At 42.7% G+C, this 23,498-nt stretch overlaps 1 pseudogene, besides 2 other annotated features; it reads left to right on the top strand.

The window, feature by feature from the left end:
- Window positions 3,244-3,405: a silencer, noted in NCBI's record as "fragment chr14:57154864-57155025 (GRCh37/hg19 assembly coordinates)". NCBI's record gives its function as "represses an EF-1alpha promoter that drives an FKBP-Casp9 reporter gene in an ReSE screen in phorbol 12-myristate 13-acetate-treated (for megakaryocytic differentiation) K562 erythroleukemia cells {active_cell/tissue: K562(+PMA)}" and the evidence as "EXISTENCE:reporter gene assay evidence [ECO:0000049][PMID:32094911]".
- On the top strand, window positions 7,778-8,174 carry RPL36AP1 (ribosomal protein L36a pseudogene 1; annotated as a pseudogene).
- Window positions 16,257-16,426: an enhancer, noted in NCBI's record as "experimental_34331 CRE fragment used in MPRA reporter constructs". NCBI's record gives its function as "activates a minimal promoter by MPRAs in K562 erythroleukemia cells, with activity observed for both the introgressed and non-introgressed 14:57141928 variant alleles {active_cell/tissue: K562}" and the evidence as "EXISTENCE:reporter gene assay evidence [ECO:0000049][PMID:34662402]".

The raw sequence follows: 23,498 nt of genomic DNA, 5'->3' as shown, positions 1-23,498 counted from the left end.
TAAGCTGTGGCTTTATTCAAATCTGGATCACCAATATGGCTTAAGATGTAAATGAAGTGCAGAGAGAAATAAAGCAAGAAAATCTCCGATGGCCTTTCTCTCTGCTATTTGAGGCCCAGGCTCTTATCAGTCAATTAATGCAGCTAAACTTCACTGGCAGCATCAGTGTAACGGCACCAGTGGCTGCTGTCCTCCTCCAGCCTCAGCCAAACAAAACACACTTTCAGTAGCCTTAATATGAAATGGGAAAAGGTCAAAATAGACAGCTTTGCCAAATAAATCCCGAAGATCCATTCTAATTTCCACCCAAGGATCTTTTAAGTCGTCCTGGATGCTCTTTATGCTACGTTGATCCACACTTAGTTTCATTAAAACTTTGTGACTTGGTATTTTTCAACCTGATAGCTTCACTAAACTAGTTCTCAAAGTGTCCACTAAGCCGCTATGCATAAAACTACTTTGCTGTCATGGTGGCTTCTAATATCACCTCAATGCAGGCAGCGGCGGTTCTGGAAATGAACCTGATCTACATGCATTCCATCTGAGCTTGGGAATTACTTTCCTTTGGCTTTCACCGGATGTCTTCTGAGGAAGAGGTGCTGTCCTCTGCAGCCCCCACCCTAAACCCTCCTGAAACTGAACGTTGAATTATCTACCACCCTGTATTTGTTCTGGAAGCAATCTACATAGAACAGGACTTTTATCTGCTGAGGTTTCCAGCTGGGATTAACAGATGCTGAAACATTTGGGGAGGAGGGAGGGGCCCACAGAAAAGAAAAGAATTAAAATTAAGGTCTCTTCCAACAATGGCATGGCAAATACAGAGGAGATTCAGACTAAGCTTAAAAAGCAAGAGGTTCCTCAGAGAGGCACATGGAGAACCTAGCTTTACTGACACGAATTTTAAAATGGCAAAAGAAAAAAAAAAAAACAAAAACCACTCTGGCCTCTCGGCTACTCTGGAATTACTTCCCAGCTGGCTGGGTCTCTCTTAGTGATTCCTAGCCCCTCAGCTTCCTTCCACCCTGAGATCTGACAAAACCTTTATTTCTTTATCAATTGCTGTGGTCAGTATACATTACTACAGTCAACAGAACTATTGGCAAAGGGTTTCAAAAAAGGTGGAGATCATTTTTCTAGGGGAAGAGGGGATTAAACATAAAATTAATAAATCAGCCAGGCTGAATAACAGACTCCCAAACCCAGCTGAGTCTGCACTTGTCATGTTTTCAGGGACTATGGTATCCCCACAAGGTCTACCCAACATAGCAGCCGTGGACAGCCCTGCTCAGCCTCCACTTGCTGGGGTGCAGAGTGGAAAACCAGTCCTCACCTTAGCTGTCTTCACCTTCCTCAACAAGCCGCGTCTCAGAATGTGGTGAATATAGGCCAAGATTTGACACCAGGCCTGCATTTATATTTACAAACTCTCAGACTTTGCAATCACATCAACCTGGATTGGAAATCTGCCTCTATCAGCAACTGGCTGTGTGACCTTGGATAACTTCTCTGAGTCTAAATTTCTTTTCTGTTTTTTTTTTTTTTTTTTTTTTTTTTTGAGACAGGTCTTGCTCTGTCACCCAGGCTGGAATACAGTAGTGGCGCAAACACGGCTCACTGCAGCCTCGACCTCCTGGGCTCAAGCAGTCCTCCCGCCCCAAAAGTGGCTGGGCTTACAAAGTCTCAAAATGTTGGGATTACAGGTGTGAGCCACCATGCCTGGTGGCCTCAATCTCTTCATCTATAACATGGAGATGATAATAACACCTTCTGCTAGAGTAGATTGGATACGGTAATTTATGTGGAACACCAATCCTGGTGCCTGGCACGTTTGATGCTTAATGCGGATAATATAATGATACTTATTGTTGTACTAGGACTCTGCACATACCGTGAAGGGGCTAAGCGAGACTCTTCACTAGTGAACAACAAAACACATCCTGAAGCTTCAACCTCCACTTTTGCTGTTAAACCTCTAAGTTTGCTGTGGGTGCTGTTGTTAGTGTTGCCTCTATAACCAAACTGCTCCGGGATTCTCCCCCATTACTTGGAAATTGAGGATATTTAATTCTACAACTCTACCCACTCCCCACCCCATCATTAGACTGTATGTTATAGAAAGATATAACAACCACCGGTAGGCTTGAGTCTCCAGAAATATTAGGGAAAAGTGAAAAGGCCCTTAGGAGAACTCTCAGAATAGCCCAGTAGGCTCTCCTAGGGCCATAACCCAACCTGCTTCACCCTCTTGACTCTTCCTAAGGCATTTTCCAAGATGGCTGCAGTTGCTCCTCCCACTGACCGCAGCCGGCCAACAGTTATGAAGCCCACACAATTCTGCTTTCCTCACTGAGAACCAGATTCAGAAAAGTGAAGCCTTGTGATGATGATGGATGGCTATAAAGACCAGGGAGGCGGAGGAGGAATCAGCCACAGGATGTGTTCCCTGTAATCTGGAAGAATCTGGGGTTGAGGTGTGGCTTCAGGTTTTGGGAACATGAGGAATGGGTTAGTCACCTCCCTGTTGATGGCATCAAAAAGCTCCTAATGGCCTGAGGTGCTGGGAGAGGCCTCTTGCACAGAGGAGGGGGTGGAAAGAGCACTGGGCGACGGGGTCAGGGACCCCTGCTCTTGCTCTGCTACAGAATGACTGCTTGACTTCACCTCTCTGAAGCCTAGTATCCACATCTTTAAATGAAGTAGTTGACCCCATTACCAGGGATTATCTCCGAAGGATGAGATTACAGGAAGAACTTTCACTCTTCATTTTAAACACCTGTACTTGTTTAAAAACATTTTTTAAACACCACATTGTATTACTTGTACAATATAAACTTTTCATTGAAATGGAAACTCAGGGGCTAGGGCTAGATCTCCTATAAAATCCAGAGGAAATGGTGGGTAAGGATTGCATAGGTGGCCAAGTAAGGACCAACCGGGAACAACTGAGGAAAAAGTCTCTGAGCACTTATCATGACTAAGACAAGATAGGATCCAGAATATTCTCACATAGATCATCAGATCACATTGGGCCTGTGAAACCCAGATTCCACTGAGACCTACTTCTTACACACTGGATAATCATGTGATCAACTAGAGCTCCTTCCTTTAAATCTGTGGGTCCTTTGGAACATTTCCTGGCACCATGAAACGGGATCCTGAGAGGAACATGGGCAATGGGGCTGGAGCTGTCCTGCAGGCTCTCTCAGCTTGGGGACTGGCCCTTGTTGCTCAGTCAAGGTGCACAGGATAGTCCTTCAAGTCTTTTGTTGGACTTGGCCAGCTGGCCCTGTCGCCCAGCAGCTTTAGTCTCTATTCGGAGGCCATGGGTCTAATGCGTTGTGACCGGCCTTTTCTGGCCTGAGGTCATCTCCTGGGCACCCTTGCCTTTCTCCCCTCTTCATGTTCATGTCCTAGGTTACCAAATAATTTAGATCAGTAGTTCCCAAACCTGGCTGCATATCAGAAGCACCTGGGCAGTGAGTTAATAACAGATTCCTGAGCCCTATCCCAGGAGGTCCTAGACTAGGTGGGACTCAAAAATTGCATTTATTTTGAAGCAGTGCAGGTATTTCTGATGCCACCAGGCAGGGACAGTGACATCCACTGTGACATGTTACCGGATGATCTTTTTAGGGCTTCCCAGGTGCATGGTTCAGACCTGAAAACATAGTCACTCATGAACAAGCCATCTAGACAGTTGAACCTAAACATTAATCCCAACCCACTGCTGCACCACGCACAGGTGGGCAATTAGTGATGGGAACATGGCTGAGGGGGTTTTGACAATACTGAGTGTGTCCCTCCCCTACTCCATCTGCAATGTACTGCATCCCACTCTGTCCCCGACACCCAACAGCAAGTTAACTGCAGATGGAACTAACCTCAAAAAACAAGAAAAGCGCTGCAGGAGGCCTTCTTGGCTTCGGGAGAGTTCAGTCCAATTTGCCACCAATATCAAGGCTTGCTTTTGATTATGTTGATGATAAAGACTGTAAACAAAACAGCCTTTCTCTACTAATTAATTCCCTTCGAAGAACTCTAAAGATCTTTAATTACACAGTTTGAAAAGCAGCGGTTACCCGATCGGCCTGATCGGGCTCTGCACTCCTCTCTGTCCACCTGAATGAAATATTTTCTTGTTTTCCCTGCTTCACACACCTAGGACGGGCTTGCAGTAAATCCTGTCAACTAAACGCCTGACAAAAGTGCTCTGATGTCAGGTATAAAGAATGCCACCTACAGCTTAATGTCTGGAAAAAAAAATTCTGAGGGCTGCAAACAATGAAGGTTTTTGTCTTCTTAATGCCCAGTATGCAATCGAGTGGAAATGCTACTTCCATCCATAATCTACAAATGAAATTAAAGTTGTTGAAAGACACAGAGTAAACCAGAAGCCTTTGTTTCTTTGCAGAACAGGAAAAATTTAAACCACTAAATGTTTTAGCAGATTTACTAAATTTCCAATTAAATCATGAAATCTGCTATCGCGGAGTTCTAAGAAGGCAGTATCTTTCCCATTCTTTTCTCTGTCTCTCTCTGCCTCCTCCTCTCCACTTGTGAACACATATGTATGATATACTATAAGCAAGCCAAATTCCCAAGTCCTCCAACACGTATATAGCCTCTGTGCAATCTGGGGGAAACTGGGGTATAGAGAGGGGCACACAAGCCTCAAGGTAAATGAGGCCAGCTCAGCAGTGATTTTGGGGACAGATGGGGCCAGGTTTTGGGGAAAAATAGGAGTTTCCCCCCTCTCTATGCTTGCAGGGTTCCTGGGCCCCCAGCAGGTCGAGGCAGCAGGCTGGAGCTGAAAGGCCTCAGGCACTCAGGCGTGGGGAGGGAGTCAGATCTGCTATACAAGAGCACCCTCTGCCAGTTGGCACAGAGGGCTGGCTGGAGAGGCCTGTGGCCCAGAGTCAGGGGAAAGGGCACGGCACCCTGCATTCAAAGCTTGCAGGGTTGGGAGCCAGGCAGGAGAGAGATTCTATCTTCAAAATAGAACATTCACCTCTGGAACAATAGCCGGTGCAGGCAGGAGCAATGCTGATTTTCCAAGGGCTCTCCACATTAATCCTCCCCACCAAATCCAGCCACTAGGAGCCTGAATGGTCCTCCAGACACCCATTCAGTAGAAAATGACGGGTGATTTTTGCCCTTGTCTCCCGAGATCTCCGGTGAGCACCGCTGCTCTGGCTGACATGTGTTTGTAAAGATAAAGCACCAGGCTACTTTGGGGGCCCTCCCAGGCTATTACAAAGAGCAAGTGGTGCCAACCATGGCTTTTTAGAATTGAGCTGTTAAATTTTTTTATATGCACCTCTTTCTGAAAAGGATTTGAAGCAACTTACAAAAAGGCAAACACAATAAAGTCATTCAACTAAAATTAGAAAAGCAAAGCCATGGAAAGGAGAAGAACCAAGCATTGACTAGGAAGTATAATAGAATTACTGTGATTTAGCATCAGATTAGGCCTTGAGCTTCCTGGCAGCCAGGGCAAGAAAGGATACCCAATGAGACAGTCCATACAACCTATTAGAAGGAAGCGGGACAATTCTCTAAGAGAGATTTTTTGTTTTTTCTTCTGGCATTAACTTTCTTTTCTTTCTCTCTCTCTCTCTCTCTCTCTCTCTGTGTGTGTGTGTGTGTGTGTGTGTGTGTGTGTGTGTTTTCTGAGACGGAGTTCCACTCTTGTTGCCCAGGCTGGAGTGCAGTGGCGCAATCTCAGCTCACTGCAACCTCTGCCTCCCAGGTTCAAGCGATTCTCCAGACTCAGCCTCCCAAGTAGCTGGGATTACAGGTGCCTACCACCACGCCCAGCTAATTTTTGTAATTTTAGTAGAGACGGGGTTTCACCATGTTGGCCAGGCTGGTCTCAAACTCCCGACCTCAGGTAATCCACCCGCCTCAGCCTCCCAAAGTGCTGGGATTACAGGGATGAGCCACTGTGCCCGGCGCATTAACTTTCTTTTAGGAGACTTTGCATAGGAAACTTTGAAAACATTATACAGTGTGTCTATCAATCTTGTTGTATAGTAAATGCAGACGCAATTCTGATATTGCTCTTTCTTGCTATAATCTTTGGCATTTGCAAAGGGCATTTATCAATCACAACTCAATAATGGTAAATCTTAATGGGATAAAGCAAAGTGTGGGGTGAAGGGTAGCTACACAAATGTGAATCAAATTTTAGTTCTTGTCCACCATGGTGGTATGTGCCTGTAGTCCCACCGGGGAGGCTGAGTTGGAAGAATCACTTGAGCCCAGGAGTCTGAGGCTACAGTGCACTATGATCATGCCTGTGAATAGCCGCTGTATTCCAGAACATAGCAAAACTCATCTCTAAAAAATAAAAAAAGAAATAAAATTTAGCTTTGGGGTACTTCATTTATTCACTGGTGCATTTGATATTTATCAAGTGCCTACTAAGTGTCAGGCTCTAGTAAGGGAAACAGAGCAGTGAAGCAGTGGGCAAAGTCCTACTCTCAGGGTATGATCTCATCTGATGCCAAGAAAGAACTTAAAATCCCCAGAGGAGTGGGTGGATAGCAGGCAAGATTCCTGGAGTTTAGTTGCTAAGTAAGAGCAGGTGTAACAAATAGAGTGCTTTCAGATATAGATCTCAGAAATCTCACCTCAAACTGCCTAAAATAATAAAGAAATGTGATTTTTTTTTTTTAAAATTCAGTGGCTCAACAATGCCTTCTCTGGGTTATACCATCTTCACTGTTGGCCCCATCCTTGGACTCATAGCTATAAGGCTGCAGCAGTTCTGGGAGTCACAAAAAGAACAAGCTGCAGAGCAAGACAGAAGACTATTTCTTCCTGTTGCTTTCTCTTAGGATGGAGGAAAAATGGTCTAGCCCATGTCTCCACCTCCTCCAGCAGACTACTTTTGTCTCACTGGCCAGAGGGCCCACATGTCCATTTGTGATCCCATCTTGTCAAGGAGGCTGGGGTCACTCTTAGACCAACCAAGCCACTCCTGAAGTTGGCTTCCCTTCTAATACTTGGCCAGGTGTGAAAGGAAGACACTCGAGCAAAGTTGGGGTTGTGTTGGAAAGGAAGAAGGGGCAGGGGAGAAGCGGATGTTGGGCAGACAGCTAACACTATCATTTTGGCCTTAAAATGCCAATCCCTTGGGGGATGTGAAGATTAGTGTAGAGTCATCAAGGCTGTTGGAATGTCTGTCTGCCTAGGCTTCTCAGGAAAAGAACCTTACTAAATAGTAAATCCTTACTATTTGCCTTATTTCTTGAATGAGACTTACTATTATCCATATCTGCCAATTCCTCAGTTAAAGCCTTTACTTCTGTTTGTACACATTAAAAAAAATTCTTTTAACTGGTCTTCCTACCTCCAATCTTACCCAGATCTAGTCCAACTTCCACACTGTTAGTGGAACCATCTTCTCAAAAATAAATGTACAATATTATTCTCTTGTGTAGCAACGTCTTTGACTTGCTATCACCTATAATACAAAGTTAAACATCTTTGCATTAACATACCAAAAAAAAATACTTAGGTATACATCTAACAAATGTGTATGACATTTATGTTAGGAAAACTAAAAAACTTATGAAAGAAATCAATGTAGAGCTAAATAAATTGAAAGACATTCCATGCTCATGGATAGGAAGGCTAAATATTATTAAGATGTCAGTTCTTCCCAACATGATCCATAGATTTAATGCAGTGCTAATCAAAATCCCAGCAAGTTATTTTGTGAGTATCAACAAATTGATTGGAAAGTTTATATATATATATATATATTTTTTTTTTTTCCTTACCGATAGCACTCCCGCAAACATGGTGAATGTTCCTAAAACTCACTGGACTTTCTGTAAGAAGTGAGGCAAGCACCAACCCCACAAAGTGACACAGTACAAGAAGGGCAAGGAATCTCTGTAGGCCCAGGGAAAGCGGCGTTACGACAGGAAGGAGAGTGGCTGTGGTGGGCAGACTAAGCCGATTTTCTGGAAAAAGGCTAAAACTACAAAGAAGATTGTGCTAAGGCTTGAGTGCATTGAGCCCATCTGCAGACCTAAAAGAATGCTGGCTATGAAGAGATGCAAGCGTTTTGAATGGGGAGGAGGTAAGAAGAGTGAGGGCCAAGTGATCCAGTTCTAAGTGTCATCTTTTGTTTGATTAGGAAGACAATAAAATCTTGAGTTAAAAAAAAAAGTTTATATTGAAAGGCAAATAAAACCAAGAAGACTAAACACAACATTGAAGAAAAAGTCAGAGGTCTGATGCTAGCCAGCTTCAAGACTTATGATAAAACTACAGTAATCGAGGCAGTATAGTATTGGTGAAAGAATAGACAAATAAATCAATGAAATAGAATAGACCCACAGAAATAGACAAGTATAGCCAACTGATTTTTGACGAAGGAGTAATGGCAATTCAGTGGAGAAAGGACATTCTTTGGAACAAATGGTGCTGGAACAACTGGACCATGCAAAGAAAGGAAAAAGAAAAGGAATCCAGATGTAATTCTTACACCTTTTGCAAAATTAATTCAAAATGGATCATCGGCCTAAAGTAAAATGCAAAACTATTAAACTTCTAGAGATAATATATGAGAAAATCTAGACAACATTGGATTGGGTGATGACTTTTTAGATACAACACACACAAAAAAATGATTCATGAAAGAAAACATCAAAAATTTGAACTTTATTAGAATTAAAAACTTCTGCTCTGCAAAAGACACTGTTAAGAGAATGAAGAGACAAGCTACAGACTGGGAGATAATATTTGCAAAACACCTAACTGATAAAGCACTTGTATCCAAAATACACAAAGAACTCTTCAAATTTAACGGTAAGGAAACAGACAACCCAATTTAAAAATGGGTGAAAGATCTGAACTGATATCTCAACAAAAAAGATATAGAGATGGCAAATAAGCACATGAAAAGATGCTCAACATTAGGGAATTGCAAATTAAAACAACAGTGAGATACCATTACATATCTATTAGAATGGATAAAAACCAAAACACTGACAACATCAAATCCTGGTGAGGATATAGAGCAACAGGAACTCTCGTTTATTGCTGGTGGGAATACAAAATGGTATAGCCACTATTGAAGACAGTTTGGCAGTTTCTTACAAAGCTAAACATAGTCTTACCCTATGACCCAGCAATCACACTCTTTGGTGTTTTACACAAATGAGTTGAAAATTTATGCGCACACAAAAACCTGACATTTACAATTGTCAAAAACTTGAAAACAACCAAGATATCCTTCAATAAGCAAATGGATAAACAAACTCAAGTACATCCATATAATGGAATATTAGTCTGTAATAAGAAGTGAGCTATCAAGCCACGAAAAGACTTAGAGGGGCCTTACATGCTCATTGCCAAGTAAAATAAGCCAGTCTGGACCAAGCACAGAGTGACTCACACCTGTAATCCCAGTACTTTGGGAGGATGAAATGGGAAGATTACTTGAGGCCAGGAGTTTGAGACCATCCTGGGCAATGTAGCGAGGCCCTGTTTCTACAAAATAAAAATATTAGCCAGGCATGGTAACCAGCATCTATAGTCCAAACTACTCAGGAGGCAGAGGTGGGGGGATCTCTTGATCCCAGGAGTTCAAGGCTGCAGTGAGCTATGATCATCTCACTGTACTCCAGCCTGGGTGACAAAGCGAGATTCTGTCTCTATAAAATATTTTTTTAAAAAAAGAAAAAGTAATTCTGAGAAGGCTACATACTATACGATTCCATCTATATGACATTCTGTAAAAAGCAAAAATATAGACAGTAGAAAGATCCATGGTTGCCAAGGGTTTCAGGGAAGATGGAGGAGGATTAATGGGTAGAAAATAGGAGATTTTTAGGGCAGTGAAGTTGTTTTTGTGTGATTCACACTTGTGGGTATATGACACTGTGCATTTGTCGAAACCCGTAAAACTGAACAACACAAAGAGTGAACCCTAATGTAAACTATAGATATTAGTTAATAATAGTGTATCAATATTGATTCATCAATTGTAACTAATGTATCACACTAATGCCAGATATTAATGGGGAAAACTAGCGGGGAAGAGAAAGGGGGTAAGAGAGGATGGAAACTGTATTTTCTGACCAATTTTTCTATAAATCTAAAATTGTTCAAAAAAATAAAGTCTATTAATTAAAAAAAATCTTTACTATGACATAAAAGACTCTTCACTGTCAAGATGGTATCATTCGCCCTAAACTTAGCTCCACAAATTCTTGCCTATATCCTTTGCATTTTTTAACTTCTCATTTTTCCTAACCACGCAGTGCCATTTTTTTTGGGTCCAGAACATTGCACTTTGCTTAGAATACTGCTGTCTTTATTCACTGACTGACAAACTTCTATGCATCAAGGTAAGCACTGCTTGCATGCCTACTATGTGCCAGGCCTATCAAAGTCCCTACCCTAGAGAAGCCCACAGTCTATTGGAAAGAAAACAACTCAAACAACCATTATAATTTTTTTTTTTTTTAGAAAATCTCGCACCCTCACCCGGGCTGGAGTGCAGTGGCGTGATCTTGGCTCACTGCAACCTCTGCCTCCTGAGTAGCTGTGATTACAGGCATCTGCCAGCACTCCCAGCTAATTTTTATATTTTTAGTAGAGACAGGGTTTCACCATGTTGGCCAAGCTGGTCTTGAACTCCTAACCTCGTGATTCGCCTGCCTTGGCCTCCCAAAGTGCTGGGATTACAGGCGTAAGCCACTGCGCCCGCCCCATCATGAATTTTTTACTGCAGTAATTAGTTTCATCCAGTTTTCTTGTTTATAATCCACAGTATCAAAATTACCCTCCTGTTTTAAAATAGCTTCTGGAAGCATCTCTGTTTCTTCAGATGGTAATTCTACCATTATACAATGGTGAAGGAATGAAATAGATGGAGTATCAACTGTCATGTTTATTACCAAAGTATATTGCCACATAGGGAATGTGCCCATTCTACAGGGTAGCAATGAGGCTCAGGGAAGTTCCGGAATTTGGGTAAGGTTGCTAAACTAGAAGGTTGCACAGTTCTTGCAAACTCAGTGCTTTGCAAGAACAGAATTACCATCTGCTGATGGCTTCACCCCACACAACCCAGAAAGTAGCCCTAGCAGGTAACTTATTTCAGATTAGAGGTTGGTTGGCCTGAAAAGCCAAGCTGAAATCTAGCTGGGCCTATCCATAAAAAGAAGGCTTGAAAACATCCTCCAACCCCATGAATAAATGGAGACACTAGCCCTAGCCTCCTTACAGTCACGATGTGGCAGAGGATGGGTTGTGGTTAGTTTTTACACTACTGTATCCACTCTGCCTAGCACAGTGCCTGACCCACAGCAAATGCACTTGAAATATCAGCTAAGTAAAAATAAAATAAAGGTCCCTATGTTTACCTTACCCCTTTTTAAGTCACTTCCATCTGCACTATCTCTTTGATATCACATTAGCCCTAAAGACTATGTAGAACAGAAATCATAGTCCTCATGCTATGTGAAGAAAGAAAATCGGGACCAGCATCCAAGTTTCTTCATGTCCAGTCCAGAGCACTTTGTGTCTCAAAGCCACCCTTAAGGAAGCAGAGGCTCAGTGAGTTGGGATGGTCAAGTCCACCACTTATTGAACACTCACTATTATATTATCTAATTTAATGCTAACAGTAGTATTGTGGGGTAGATTTCAATATTCCTATTTTAAAGAAGAGAAAACAGGCTCATTGAAATTGTCACTTGCCTAAGGTCACAAAGCTTTGTTTTCTAGTTATTCATACAAATTTATGGGGCACATGAGAAATTTTGTTCCGTGTATATAATGCATAATGATCAAGTCAGGGTTTTCAGGGTGTCGAAGTACAATGCATTTTTGTTAAGTATAGTCACACTACTCTGCTATCAAACATTGAATTTATTCCTTCTGTTTTACTACTGTATGTTTGTACCCTTTGACCCAGTTCTCTTCTTCCTCCTCGCTCACCCCATTCATCCTTCCTAGTCTCTGTTAGCTATTTTTCCACTTCCTTCTTTCATATGACCAAATTTTCTAGTTCCCTCATATTAAGTGAGAACATGCAATACTTGTCTTTTTGTGCCTGGCTTATTTCAATTAACATAATGGCCTCCAGCTCCATCCATGCTGCTGCAAATGACAGGATTTCATTATTTTTATGGCAGAATAGTATTCCATTGTGTATATAAAACACATTTCTTTACCCATTCATCTGCTGATTCCATATCTTTGCTATTGCTTTGCTATTGTGAATAGTGCTGCAATAAATATGTGAGTGCAGGTATCCCTTTGATACATTAATTTCATTTTCTTTGGGTAGATGCCCAGTAGTGGGATTGCTGAATCAAATGGTAATTTTATTTTTAGTTTTGTGAAAAATCTCCATACAGTCTTCCATAGTGGCTGTACTAGTTTACATTCACACCAACCATGTGTAAGAGTTCCCTTTTCTCCACATCCTCACCAATATCTGTTAATTTTTGTCTTTTTAGTAGTAGCTATTCTGATGGGGTTAAGGTGATATCTCGTTGTGGTTTAGATTTGCATTTCTTTGAAGATTAGTAATATTGAGCATTCAAAAAATATACCTCGCATGCCTGTTGGCCATTTGTATGTCTTCTATTGAGAACTATCTATTCATTTCCTTTGCCCACTTTTTAATAGGACCTTTTATTCCTGTTGAGTTGTTTGAGTTCCTCGTATATTCTGGATATTAGTTTCTTTCAGATGAATAGTTTGCAAAATATTTTCTCCCATTCAACAGGTTCTCTCTTTGCTCTGTTGATTGCTCCCTTTGCTGTATAGAAGCTTTTTAGTTTAGTCCAATTTATCTATTTTTGTCTCTGTTGTCTGTGTTTTTGAAGACTTAGTCACAAATTATTTGCCTAGACCAATGTCTGGGAGAGTTTTTTTTTAAGGTTTTCTTCTAGTATTTCTATAGTTTTGGGTCTTATGTTTAAGTCTTTAATCCACTTTGAGTTGATTTTGTATATGGGGAGAGATGGGGTTCAGTTTCATTCTTCTGCATTTGGCTATCCAATTTTCCCAGTGAGAGCCTAGATTCAAATCCAATTTCACTGGACTCCAAAATTCATGAATTTTCTTTCTATGATGTCAATGTACTGCCCAGTTTTCTAGATTAGGAAACTTTGAAAGGGTGTTATGTAATAAATATTATTTTTTTTTGAAAACTGGCTCCCCTCTGCTGTTTAATGAGGTGATCACAATGCTTCAAATGCAGTGGATCAGGTGAGAGTTGATGGATAATCTAATGCAGTTGTCAGCAAAGGGAGGGGCCAAAGTACAGCACACGCAGCCTCTGTCCTGTTCAGTTTACACCTGCAACATTGGATCTCTTTTTGGAAGCTGCCTTTCAAGAGGAACATTGATCTTGGACACCATGGCCCTGGAAGGTGACAACAATGGGAGGTGTGAGCCTGGAAACCACTTTTTAATGAATGAAGAGATTAGCTGTGTCTAACTTGGAGAAGACTGAGGAAGCCCATTGTTGTGGATAAAAAATGAAAAGTACTATTAGTAGAGGAGTAGGGGACTCACACCATGTGTTCCAGGAAGAAAGACCAAAACCAACGTACATGAATGCAAACCAACTCACAGAGAAAAGAGTGCTCAAACCCATGGTGGAAAGACTGGCCATGACATGGTGAGCTCCTTATCCTCTGCTCATCATTGTCCTCCCATGTCTTTGTCTCATATTTATGATCACCTGCCAGGTATGCTAGGTAAAAAATATCTGTGCATCTTGGCCCAAGTCCTCTAAAAGGCAGTGTCAAAGGCAATAGTTTACATGGTTACCCTTTACTGGGGTGCAGGGTACAATCGTAGGGAAGCAGAAGTGAGGGGCAAATCAAGTGAGGCAGAGAAGCAGTGAGATAAATATGGGAGCATGTTACTGAGCTGGTCTCAGCTTTGAAACAGGTGCCACTGATTGCTCAATCTTGTGGGGTTCATTAGAAAGACTATGTGAACTGCATCACAGTCTGTCCAGGAGGAGAAAGGGAGATAAATCATACCAAGAGTTGCCTTCCATCCCTGTCTTCCATTGGCTAGAGTCTGGCCCATAAGTGATTTACCTTTTTGCACTGTGGATTGCATTACCTGTCTCTGTGCAGCCACTGGGGAGGCCAGCGCCCCCGCCTGAGAGAACAATGCAGCCAGTGGACTCCTCTGTCTGCTGGGGTGATGGCAGCAGCAGCAGTGACCTGGATCCATGACCCTGGGAGTGGTCAAGCTGTCACTACAGCCACTCTGGCTGGAAAGGGAGGGCAGCACACAGTGGCCCACAGGCTGAGTCTAACAGAGTTTGAGCCAGAAGGGAAATAAATTGTCCAGGAATAAGGGAAGGAAGGTGCTATGACTGAATGCTTGTGTTTCCCCCAAATTCCTATGTTGACATCCTAATCCTCAAGGTGATGGTATTTGGAGACTGGGCCTCTGGGAAGTAATTAGGTTATGATGGGGAATCCCTCATCAATGGGATTAGTGCCCTTATAAAAAGGACTCCCGGCCGGGCGCGGTGGCTTACGCCTGTAATCCCAGCACTTTGGGAGGCCAAGGCGGGTGGATCACGAGGTCAGGAGATCGAGACCATCCTGGCTAACATGGTGAAACCCCATCTCTACTAAAAATACAAAAAAATTAGCTGGGTGTGGTGGCGGGCACCTGTAGTCCTAGCTATTTGGGAGGCTGAGGCAGGAGAATGGCGTGAACCCGGGAGGTGGAGCTTGCAGTTAGCTGAGATTGCGCCACGGCACTCCTCAAGGAACCAGGAAACGGGCCCTCACTAGACACTGAGTCTGCCGGCACCTTGATCTTGGACTTCCCAGACTCCTGATTCATGTCTATTGCTTATATGTCACTCAATGTTATTCTGTTCTAGCATCCCAAATGGAATAAGACAGAAGGGAATAACAGTCAGGGGAAAACCAGTGCCTAGTCCTGGCTTGTGGTATAATAACAGCAATAGATTCTGAATGAGCACTTAGCATGGGCCAGTTTGCATTTATTATGTCATTGAATCCCCTCAGCATCCTATAGAGGAAATATTATTGCCTACATTTTCTAGATGAAGCTGACGCCCAGAGAGGTCAGGTCCAACACCTTGCAGGGGTCTCCCAAATGAGAAAGAAAGATGGGATCATGAACTCGTAAACACATGCCACACCCTAGCTCCTCACCCAAGGCTAATGCTCCTGGAAGGATGCCTTAAGACACAGAAAGCAAGTGCTCTGCACATTCAGAAGGCTGGAGTGGGCTGGCCAAGCTCCACCTTAATAACCAGGGAAACACTCAGTCATCTCAAGGAAGCAAACAGGTTATGTCAGTACAATGCAAAGGCGTGCTGGACAACAGGCTTAGTGAGGAACGTCTGAAAGCTCAGTGTGGATCCCTGACCTGCCCTAGAAACATCGCAATTTACCAAAAAATTACACACTTTATTCTGAATGGGTAGGTAGAGAACGATGTGGGAAGCTTTATGCCACTCTCCAAAGGCAAAGAAATAAGATTGTAGCCGAAAAGTAGTAGTAAATGGAGTGTTTCTCATGTGGACCTATGGAACTTTGGGATGCTGGGATGTCCTGCTTCTGGCCAGCATATGAGATGGGGGAAAGCAATGTCGCATCTTGCAAGCACAATGCCAGGGCACAAAGGATCTGGGAACAGAGGGACTGTCTGAACCACAGGCACCCACCCCTGCACTAGCTCTGAGTTATGGAAGGAAAGGCAAGAGCATATGAACAATCCAGGAAGAAACAGCATCATGATGCTGAGGTCTCCTTCTCTTTCCTGGTGGTTATCAAATACCATCCAGAACACACAGTGATGTTGAGAGATGACCCTGTCAACGTTGGGGACTGCCATTATCACCAGCCTCCAAGGGCATCAAGCATTCCAAAGAGATCATGTGTTTTTCTCTGCCAGGCTAACTCAGGTTCCTACAGATGGTATATGGAGAAAGGCAAAATCCTCTCTACTCCAATTCAGGGATAAATTGAAGGTCATGTTGAAGACCAAGCCTAAGTTAGCAGGGGGGCCTACAGGGACACACCACTCCTTGGCTGCCACAGGCAGGAGTGAAGAGGGCCTTGAAGATGTTAATGCAGCCCTGTCTCAGCATGGAGAGGTCACTGTTCAATACCCTGGAGCTGGTTAGAAGAGAGAAGCCAACGATCGTCTGGGAAAGGGCAACTGCAAAGTCATCTCAAAAGATCGCTCTTTCAGGTTTGGGCATGGTATCCTGAAAGAGGAAGCATGCTGTCAATGGAACAGGTTCTCATTATTTGTTTGGCATCTGGCTGCTATTTGGAGGGCTAAATACACGTTAGGTAACGCTGAATACCCCAAACCCATATGTTCCTCTGGCCTCATGTTGCTTCCACTCTCTTATAAAGTTCGAAGCCCTGAGAATGGCGTACAACGCCCTTCTGTAGACGGCCCCACCAGCCATCCCACACTCTCCCCATCACTGTAGCCTTCACTCCTATTTATGAGGCACTCAGACCTACTTGCTACTGCCCAAACACACTGCATAGAGATGTGCTTGCATAGTTGGGTTTTCCCTCTTGGCTTCTGTCATGGCAATGAGAAAGACATCCTGCTCGGCCAATCCCAGGAAATGAGACGTTCTAAATAGCCTGAAGCCAAGCCCAGCTGTGCCTAACCTGGATCGGCCAAACTCTAGTCTTATCACAGGTGTGTAAGTAAGAAATCAGTGCTCGTTGTCATATGCTACTGCCCCATCTTTCTGTATCTCTGCTTCACAAAAGGGCTTCCCCTGCTTTACCTGTTTTATATCCTGTTCTCTGCACTCTGTCAGGCATCTCCATCCCTCACTTGTGTCTGAAAGCTGTTTCCTTCACCTGTTCCTCATCTGCATTTAAGCTGGCTCCACGGGCTCCAATCATTAAACCAAAACATCCACACTGACCCACAAGTTCTCCTTCAGTAATCACCCTCACTCTCCTTCTCAGTCTGATTTCTTGGTGAGTTGTCCATGTCAGTGGCTCAGCTCCTGTCTTCACGTCCTAATTTCCCACTCATTCCTCCAGACTGAAATCGGACTCTCCACTGTCATCCTAGGAAACCACCCTCGCATCTCTGTTCTTACACTGCTTCTTCGCAGTGGCTTTGACTTTGGATCACCCCCTCTCTGAAATGCCCTTTCCTCTTGGTCTTTTGGTATCACACAGGCTTCTTCTTTCTTTTGGGGACATCACTTTCTCTGCCCTTCTTTTTTTTTTTTTTTTTTTTTTTTTGAGACGGAATCTCGCTCTGTCGCCCAGGCTGGAGTGCAGTGGCACCATCTCGGCTCACTGCAACCTCCGCCTCCCGAGTTCAAGAGATTCTCCTGCCTCAGCCTCCTGAGTAGCTGGGATTATAGGCGTGTGCCACCACACCCAGCTAATTTTTGTATTTTAGTAGAGACGGGGTTTCACCATGTTGGCCAAGCTAGTCTTGAACTCCTGAACTCAAGTGATCTGCCCTCCTTGGCCTCCAAAACTGCTGGGATTACAGGCATGAGCCACCGCACCTGGCCTCACCTCTGCCTTTCTCTTAAAGATTGATGTTTCTCAGGGCCCTTTCCTTGCCCCTTATTTATTCCTACTCTATGTCCTTCCCATGGGAGGTCACATCCACTGCAAGGGTTTCATGTACCATCTATCTGTTGGTGGCCTCCAGTCCTCATCTCTAGACCAGAACTCACTACTGAGTGCCAGACCCATAATCCAGATTCCTACTGGAGTATCATCTATCTATTACACAAATATTTTGCTGACCACTCGTGTGTACCAGACACTTGTTGTAGGTGCTGGATGTACAAGCAGTGAACAAAACAGACAAAAATCCCATCCTCATGAAGCATAGAGGTCACTAGAATAGGGGAGGTCAGACAATAAATAAATAAGATGTTAGCACTATCAGAGGATGATGAGCAGAGGGCGATGTCATCTGCTTGTATTTCTTTTTTTTTTTTTTTTTTAATTATACTTTAAGTTTTAGGGTACATGTGCACATTGTGCAGGTTAGTTACATAATGTATACATGTGCCATGCTGGTGCGCTGCAACCCCTAACTTGTCATCTAGCATTAGGTATATCTCCCAATGCTACCCCTCCCCCCTCCCCCCACCCCACCACAGTCCCCAGAGTGTGATATTCCCCTTCCTGTGACCATGTGATCTCATTGTTCAATTCCCACCTATGAGTGAGAATATGCGGTGTTTGGTTTTTTGTTCTTGCGATAGTTTACTGAGAATGATGGTTTCCAATTTCATCCATGTCCCTACAAAGGACATGAACTCATCATTTTTTATGGCTGCATAGTATTCCATGGTGTATATGTGCCACATTTTCTTAATCCAGTCTATCATTGTTGGACATTTGGGTTGGTTCCAAGTCTTTGCTATTGTGAATAATGCCGCAATAAACATACGTGTGCATGTGTCTTTATAGCAGCATGATTTATAGTCCTTTGGGTATATACCCAGTAATGGGATGGCTGGGTCAAATGGTATTTCTAGTTCTAGATCCCTGAGGAATCGCCACACTGACTTCCACAATGGTTGAACTAGTTTACAGTCCCACCAACAGTGTAAAAGTGTTCCTATTTCTCCACATCCTCTCCAGCACCTGTTGTTTCCTGACTTTTTAATGATTGCCATTCTAACTGGTGTGAGATGGTATCTCATAGTGGTTTTGATTTGCATTTCTCTGATGGCCAGTGATGATGAGCATTTTTTCATATATTTTTTGGCTGCATAAATGTCTTCTTTTGAGAAGTGTCTGTTCATGTCCTTCGCCCACTTTTTGATGGGTTTTTTTTTTTTTTTTCTTGTAAATTTGTTTGAGTTCATTGTAGATTCTGGATATTAGCCCTTTGTCAGATGAGTAGGTTGCGAAAATTTTCTCCCATGTTGTAGGTTGCCTGTTCACTCTGATGGTAGTTTCTTTTGCTGTGCAGAAGCTCTTTAGTTTAATTAGATCCCATTTGTCAATTTTGGCTTTTGTTGCCATTGCTTTTGGTGTTTTGGACATGAAGTCCTTGCCCACGCCTATGTCCTGAATGGTAATGCCTAGGTTTTCTTCTAGGGTTTTTATGGTTTTAGGTCTAACATGTAAATCTTTAATCCATCTTGAATTGATTTTTGTATAAGGTGTAAGGAAGGGATCCAGTTTCAGCTTTCTCCATATGGCTAGCCAGTTTTCCCAGCACCATTTATTAAATAGGGAATCCTTTCCCCATTGCTTGTTTTTCTCAGGTTTGTCAAAGATCAGATAGTTGTAGGTATGCGGCGTTATTTCTGAGGGCTCTGTTCTGTTCCATTGATCTATATCTCTGTTTTGGTACCAGTACCATGCTGTTTTGGTTACTGTAGCCTTGTAGTATAGTTTGAAGTCAGGTAGTGTGATGCCTCCAGCTTTGTTCTTTTGGCTTAGGATTGACTTGGCGACGCGGGCTCTTTTTTGGTTCCATATGAACTTTAAAGTAGTTTTTTCCAATTCTGTGAAGAAAGTCATTGGTAGCTTGATGGGGATGGCATTGAATCTGTAAATTACCTTGGGCAGTATGGCCATTTTCACGATATTGATTCTTCCTACCCATGAGCATGGAATGTTCTTCCATTTGTTTGTATCCTCTTCTATTTCCTTGAGCAGTGGTTTGTAGTTCTCCTTGAAGAGGTCCTTCACATCCCTTGTAAGTTGGATTCCTAGGTATTTTATTCTCTTTGAAGCAATTGTGAATGGGAGATCACTCATGATTTGGCTCTCTGTTTGTCTGTTGTTGGTGTATAAGAATGCTTGTGATTTTTGTACATTGATTTTGTATCCTGAGACTTTGCTGAAGTTGCTTATCAGCTTAAGGAGATTTTGGGCTGAGACGATGGGGTTTTCTAGATAAACAATCATGTCGTCTGCAAACAGGGACAATTTGATTTCCTCTTTTCCTAATTGAATACCCTTTATTTCCTTCTCCTGCCTGATTGCCCTGGCCAGAACTTCCAACACTATGTTGAATAGGAGTGGTGAGAGAGGGCATCCCTGTGTTGTGCCAGTTTTCAAAGGGAATGCTTCCAGTTTTTGCCCATTCAGTATGATATTGGCTGTGGGTTTGTCATAGATAGCTCTTATTATTTTGAAATACGTCCCATCAATACCTAATTTATTGAGAGTTTTTAGCATGAAGGGTTGTTGAATTTTGTCAAAGGCTTTTTCTGCATCTATTGAGATAATCATGTGGTTTTTGTCTTTGGTTCTGTTTATATGCTGGATTACATTTATTGATTTGCATATATTGAACCAGCCTTGCATCCCAGGGATGAAGCCCACTTGATCATGGTGGATAAGCTTTTTGACGTGCTGCTGGATTCGGTTTGCCAGTATTTTATTGAGGATTTTTGCTTCAATGTTCATCAAGGTTATTGGTCTAAAATTCTCTTTTTTGGTTGTGTCTCTGCCTGGCTTTGGTATCAGAAGGATGCTGGCCTCATAAAATGAGTTAGGGAGGATTCCCTCTTTTTCTATTGATTGGAATAGTTTCAGAAGGAATGGTACCAGTTCCTCCTTCTACCTCTGGTAGAATTCGGCTGTGAATCCATCTGGTCCTGGACTCTTTTTGGTTGGTAAACTATTGATTATTGCCACAATTTCAGCACCTGTTATTGGTCTATTCAGAGATTCAACTTCTTCCTGGTTTAGTCTTGGGAGAGTGTATGTGTCAAGGAATGTATCCATTTCTTCTAGATTTTCTAGTTTATTTGCGTAGAGGTGTTTGTAGTATTCTCTGATGGTAGTTTGTATTTCTGTGGGATCGGTGGTGATATCCCCTTTATCATTTTTTATTGTGTCTATTTGATTCTCCTCTCTTTTTTTCTTTATTAGTCTTGCTAGCGGTCTATCAATTTTGTTGATCCTTTCAAAAAACCAGCTCCTGGATTCATTGATTTTTTGAAGGGTTTTTTGTGTCTCTATTTCCTTCAGTTCTACTCTGATTTTAGTTATTTCTTGCCTTCTGCTAGCTTTTGAATGTGTTTGCTCTTGCTTTTCTAGTTCTTTTAATTGTGATATTAGGGTGTCAATTTTGGATCTTTCCTGCTTTCTCTTGTGGGCATTTAGTGCTATAAATTTCCCTCTACACACTGCTTTGAATGTGTCCCAGAGATTCTGGTATGTTGTGTCTTTGTTCTCGTTGGTTTCAAAGAACATCTTTATTTCTGCCTTCATTTCGTTATGTACCCAGTAGTCATTCAGGAGCAGGTTGTTCAGTTTCCATGTAGTTGAGCAGCTTTGAGTGAGATTCTTAATCCTGAGTTCTAGTTTGATTGCACTGTGGTCTGAGAGATAGTTTGTTATAATTTCTGTTCTTTTACATTTGCTGAGGAGAGCTTTACTTCCAACTATGTGGTCAATTTTGGAATAGGTGTGGTGTGGTGCTGAAAAAAACGTATATTCTGTTGATTTGGGGTGGAGAGTTCTGTAGATGTCTATTAGGTCTGCTTGGTGCAGAGATGAGTTCAATTCCTGGGTATCCTTGTTGACTTTCTGTCTCGTTGATCTGTCTAATGTTGACAGTGGGGTGTTACAGTCTCCCATTATTAATGTGTGGGAGTCTAAGTCTCTTTGTAGGTCACTCAGGACTTGCTTTATGAATCTGGATGCTCCTGTATTGGGTGCATATATATTTAGGATAGTTAGCTCCTCTTGTTGAATTGATCCCTTTACCATTATGTAATGGCTTTCTTTGTCTCTTTTGATCTTTGTTGGTTTAAAGTCTGTTTTATCAGAGACTAGGATTGTAACCCCTGCCTTTTTTTGTTTTCCATTTGCTTGGTAGATCTTCCTCCATCCTTTTATTTTGAGCCTATGTGTGTCTCTGCACGTGAGATGGGTTTCCTGAATACAGCACACTGATGGGTCTTGACTCTTTATCCAACTTGCCAGTCTGTGTCTTTTAATTGGAGAATTTAGTCCATTTACATTGAAAGTTAATATTGTTATGTGTGAATTTGATCCTGTCATTATGATGTTAGCTGGTTATTTTGCTCGTTAGTTGATGCAGTTTCTTCCTAGTCTGGATGGTCTTTACATTTTGGCATGATTTTGCAGCGGCTGGTACCGGTTGTTCCTTTCCATGTTTAGCGCTTCCTTCAGGAGCTCTTTTAGGGCAGGTCTGGTGGTGACAAAATCTCTCAGCATTTGCTTATCTGTAAAGTATTTTATTTCTCCTTCACTTATGAAGCTTAGTTTGGCTGGATATGAAATTCTGGGTTGAAAATTCTTTTCTTTAAGAATGTTGAATATTGGCCCCCACTCTCTTCTGGCTTGTAGGGTTTCTGCCGAGAGATCCGCTGTTAGTCTGATGGGCTTCCCTTTGAGGGTAACCCGACCTTTCTCTCTGGCTGCCCTTAACATTTTTTCCTTCATTTCAACTTTGGTGAATCTGACAATTATGTGTCTTGGAGTTGCTCTTCTTGAGGAGTATCTTTGTGGCGTTCTCTGTATTTCCTGAATCTGAACGTTGGCCTGCCTTGCTAGATTGGGGAAGTTCTCCTGGATAATATCCTGCAGAGTGTTTTCCAACTTGGTTTCATTCTCCGCATCACTTTCAGGTACACCAATCAGACGTAGATTTGGTCTTTTCACATAGTCCCATATTTCTTGGAGGCTTTGCTCATTTCTTTTTATTCTTTTTTCTCTAAACTTCCCTTCTCACTTCATTTCATTCATTTCATCTTCCATTGCTGATACCCTTTCTTCCAGTTGATCGCATCGGCTCCTGAGGCTTCTGCATTCTTCACGTAGTTCTCGAGCCTTGGTTTTCAGCTCCATCAGCTCCTTTAAGCACTTCTCTGTATTGGTTATTCTAGTTATACATTCTTCTAAATTTTTTTCAAAGTTTTCAACTTCTTTGCCTTTGGTTTCAATGTCCTCCCGTAGCTCAGAGTAATTTGATCGTCTGAAACCTTCTTCTCTCAGCTCGTCAAAGTCATTCTCCATCCAGCTTTGTTCCGTTGCTGGTGAGGAACTGCGTTCCTTTGGAGGAGGAGAGGCGCTCTGCGTTTTAGAGTTTCCAGTTTTTCTGTTCTGTTTTTTCCCCATCTTTGTGGTTTTATCTACTTTTGGTCTTTGATGATGGTGATGTACAGATGGGTTTTCAGTGTGGATGTCCTTTCTGTTTGTTAGTTTTCCTTCTAACAGACAGGACCCTCAGCTGCAGGTCTGTTGGAATACCCTGCCGTGTGAGGTGTCAGTGTGCCCCTGCTGGGGGGTGCCTCCCAGTTAGGCTGCTCGGGGGTCAGGGGTCAGGGACCCACTTGAGGAGGTAGTCTGCCCGTTCTCAGATCTCCAGCTGCGTGCTGGGAGAACCACTGCTCTCTTCAAAGCTGTCAGACAGGGACATTTAAGTCTGCAGAGGTTACTGCTGTCTTTTTGTTTGTCTGTGCCCTGCCCCCAGAGGTGGAGCCTACAGAGGCAGGCAGG

Source organism: Homo sapiens, chromosome 14, assembly GCF_000001405.40.
Source record: "Homo sapiens chromosome 14, GRCh38.p14 Primary Assembly".
Taxonomy (NCBI): domain Eukaryota; kingdom Metazoa; phylum Chordata; class Mammalia; order Primates; family Hominidae; genus Homo; species Homo sapiens.
Note: the sequence above shows the minus strand (reverse complement) of the source record. Positions and strands in the feature narration are given on the sequence as shown.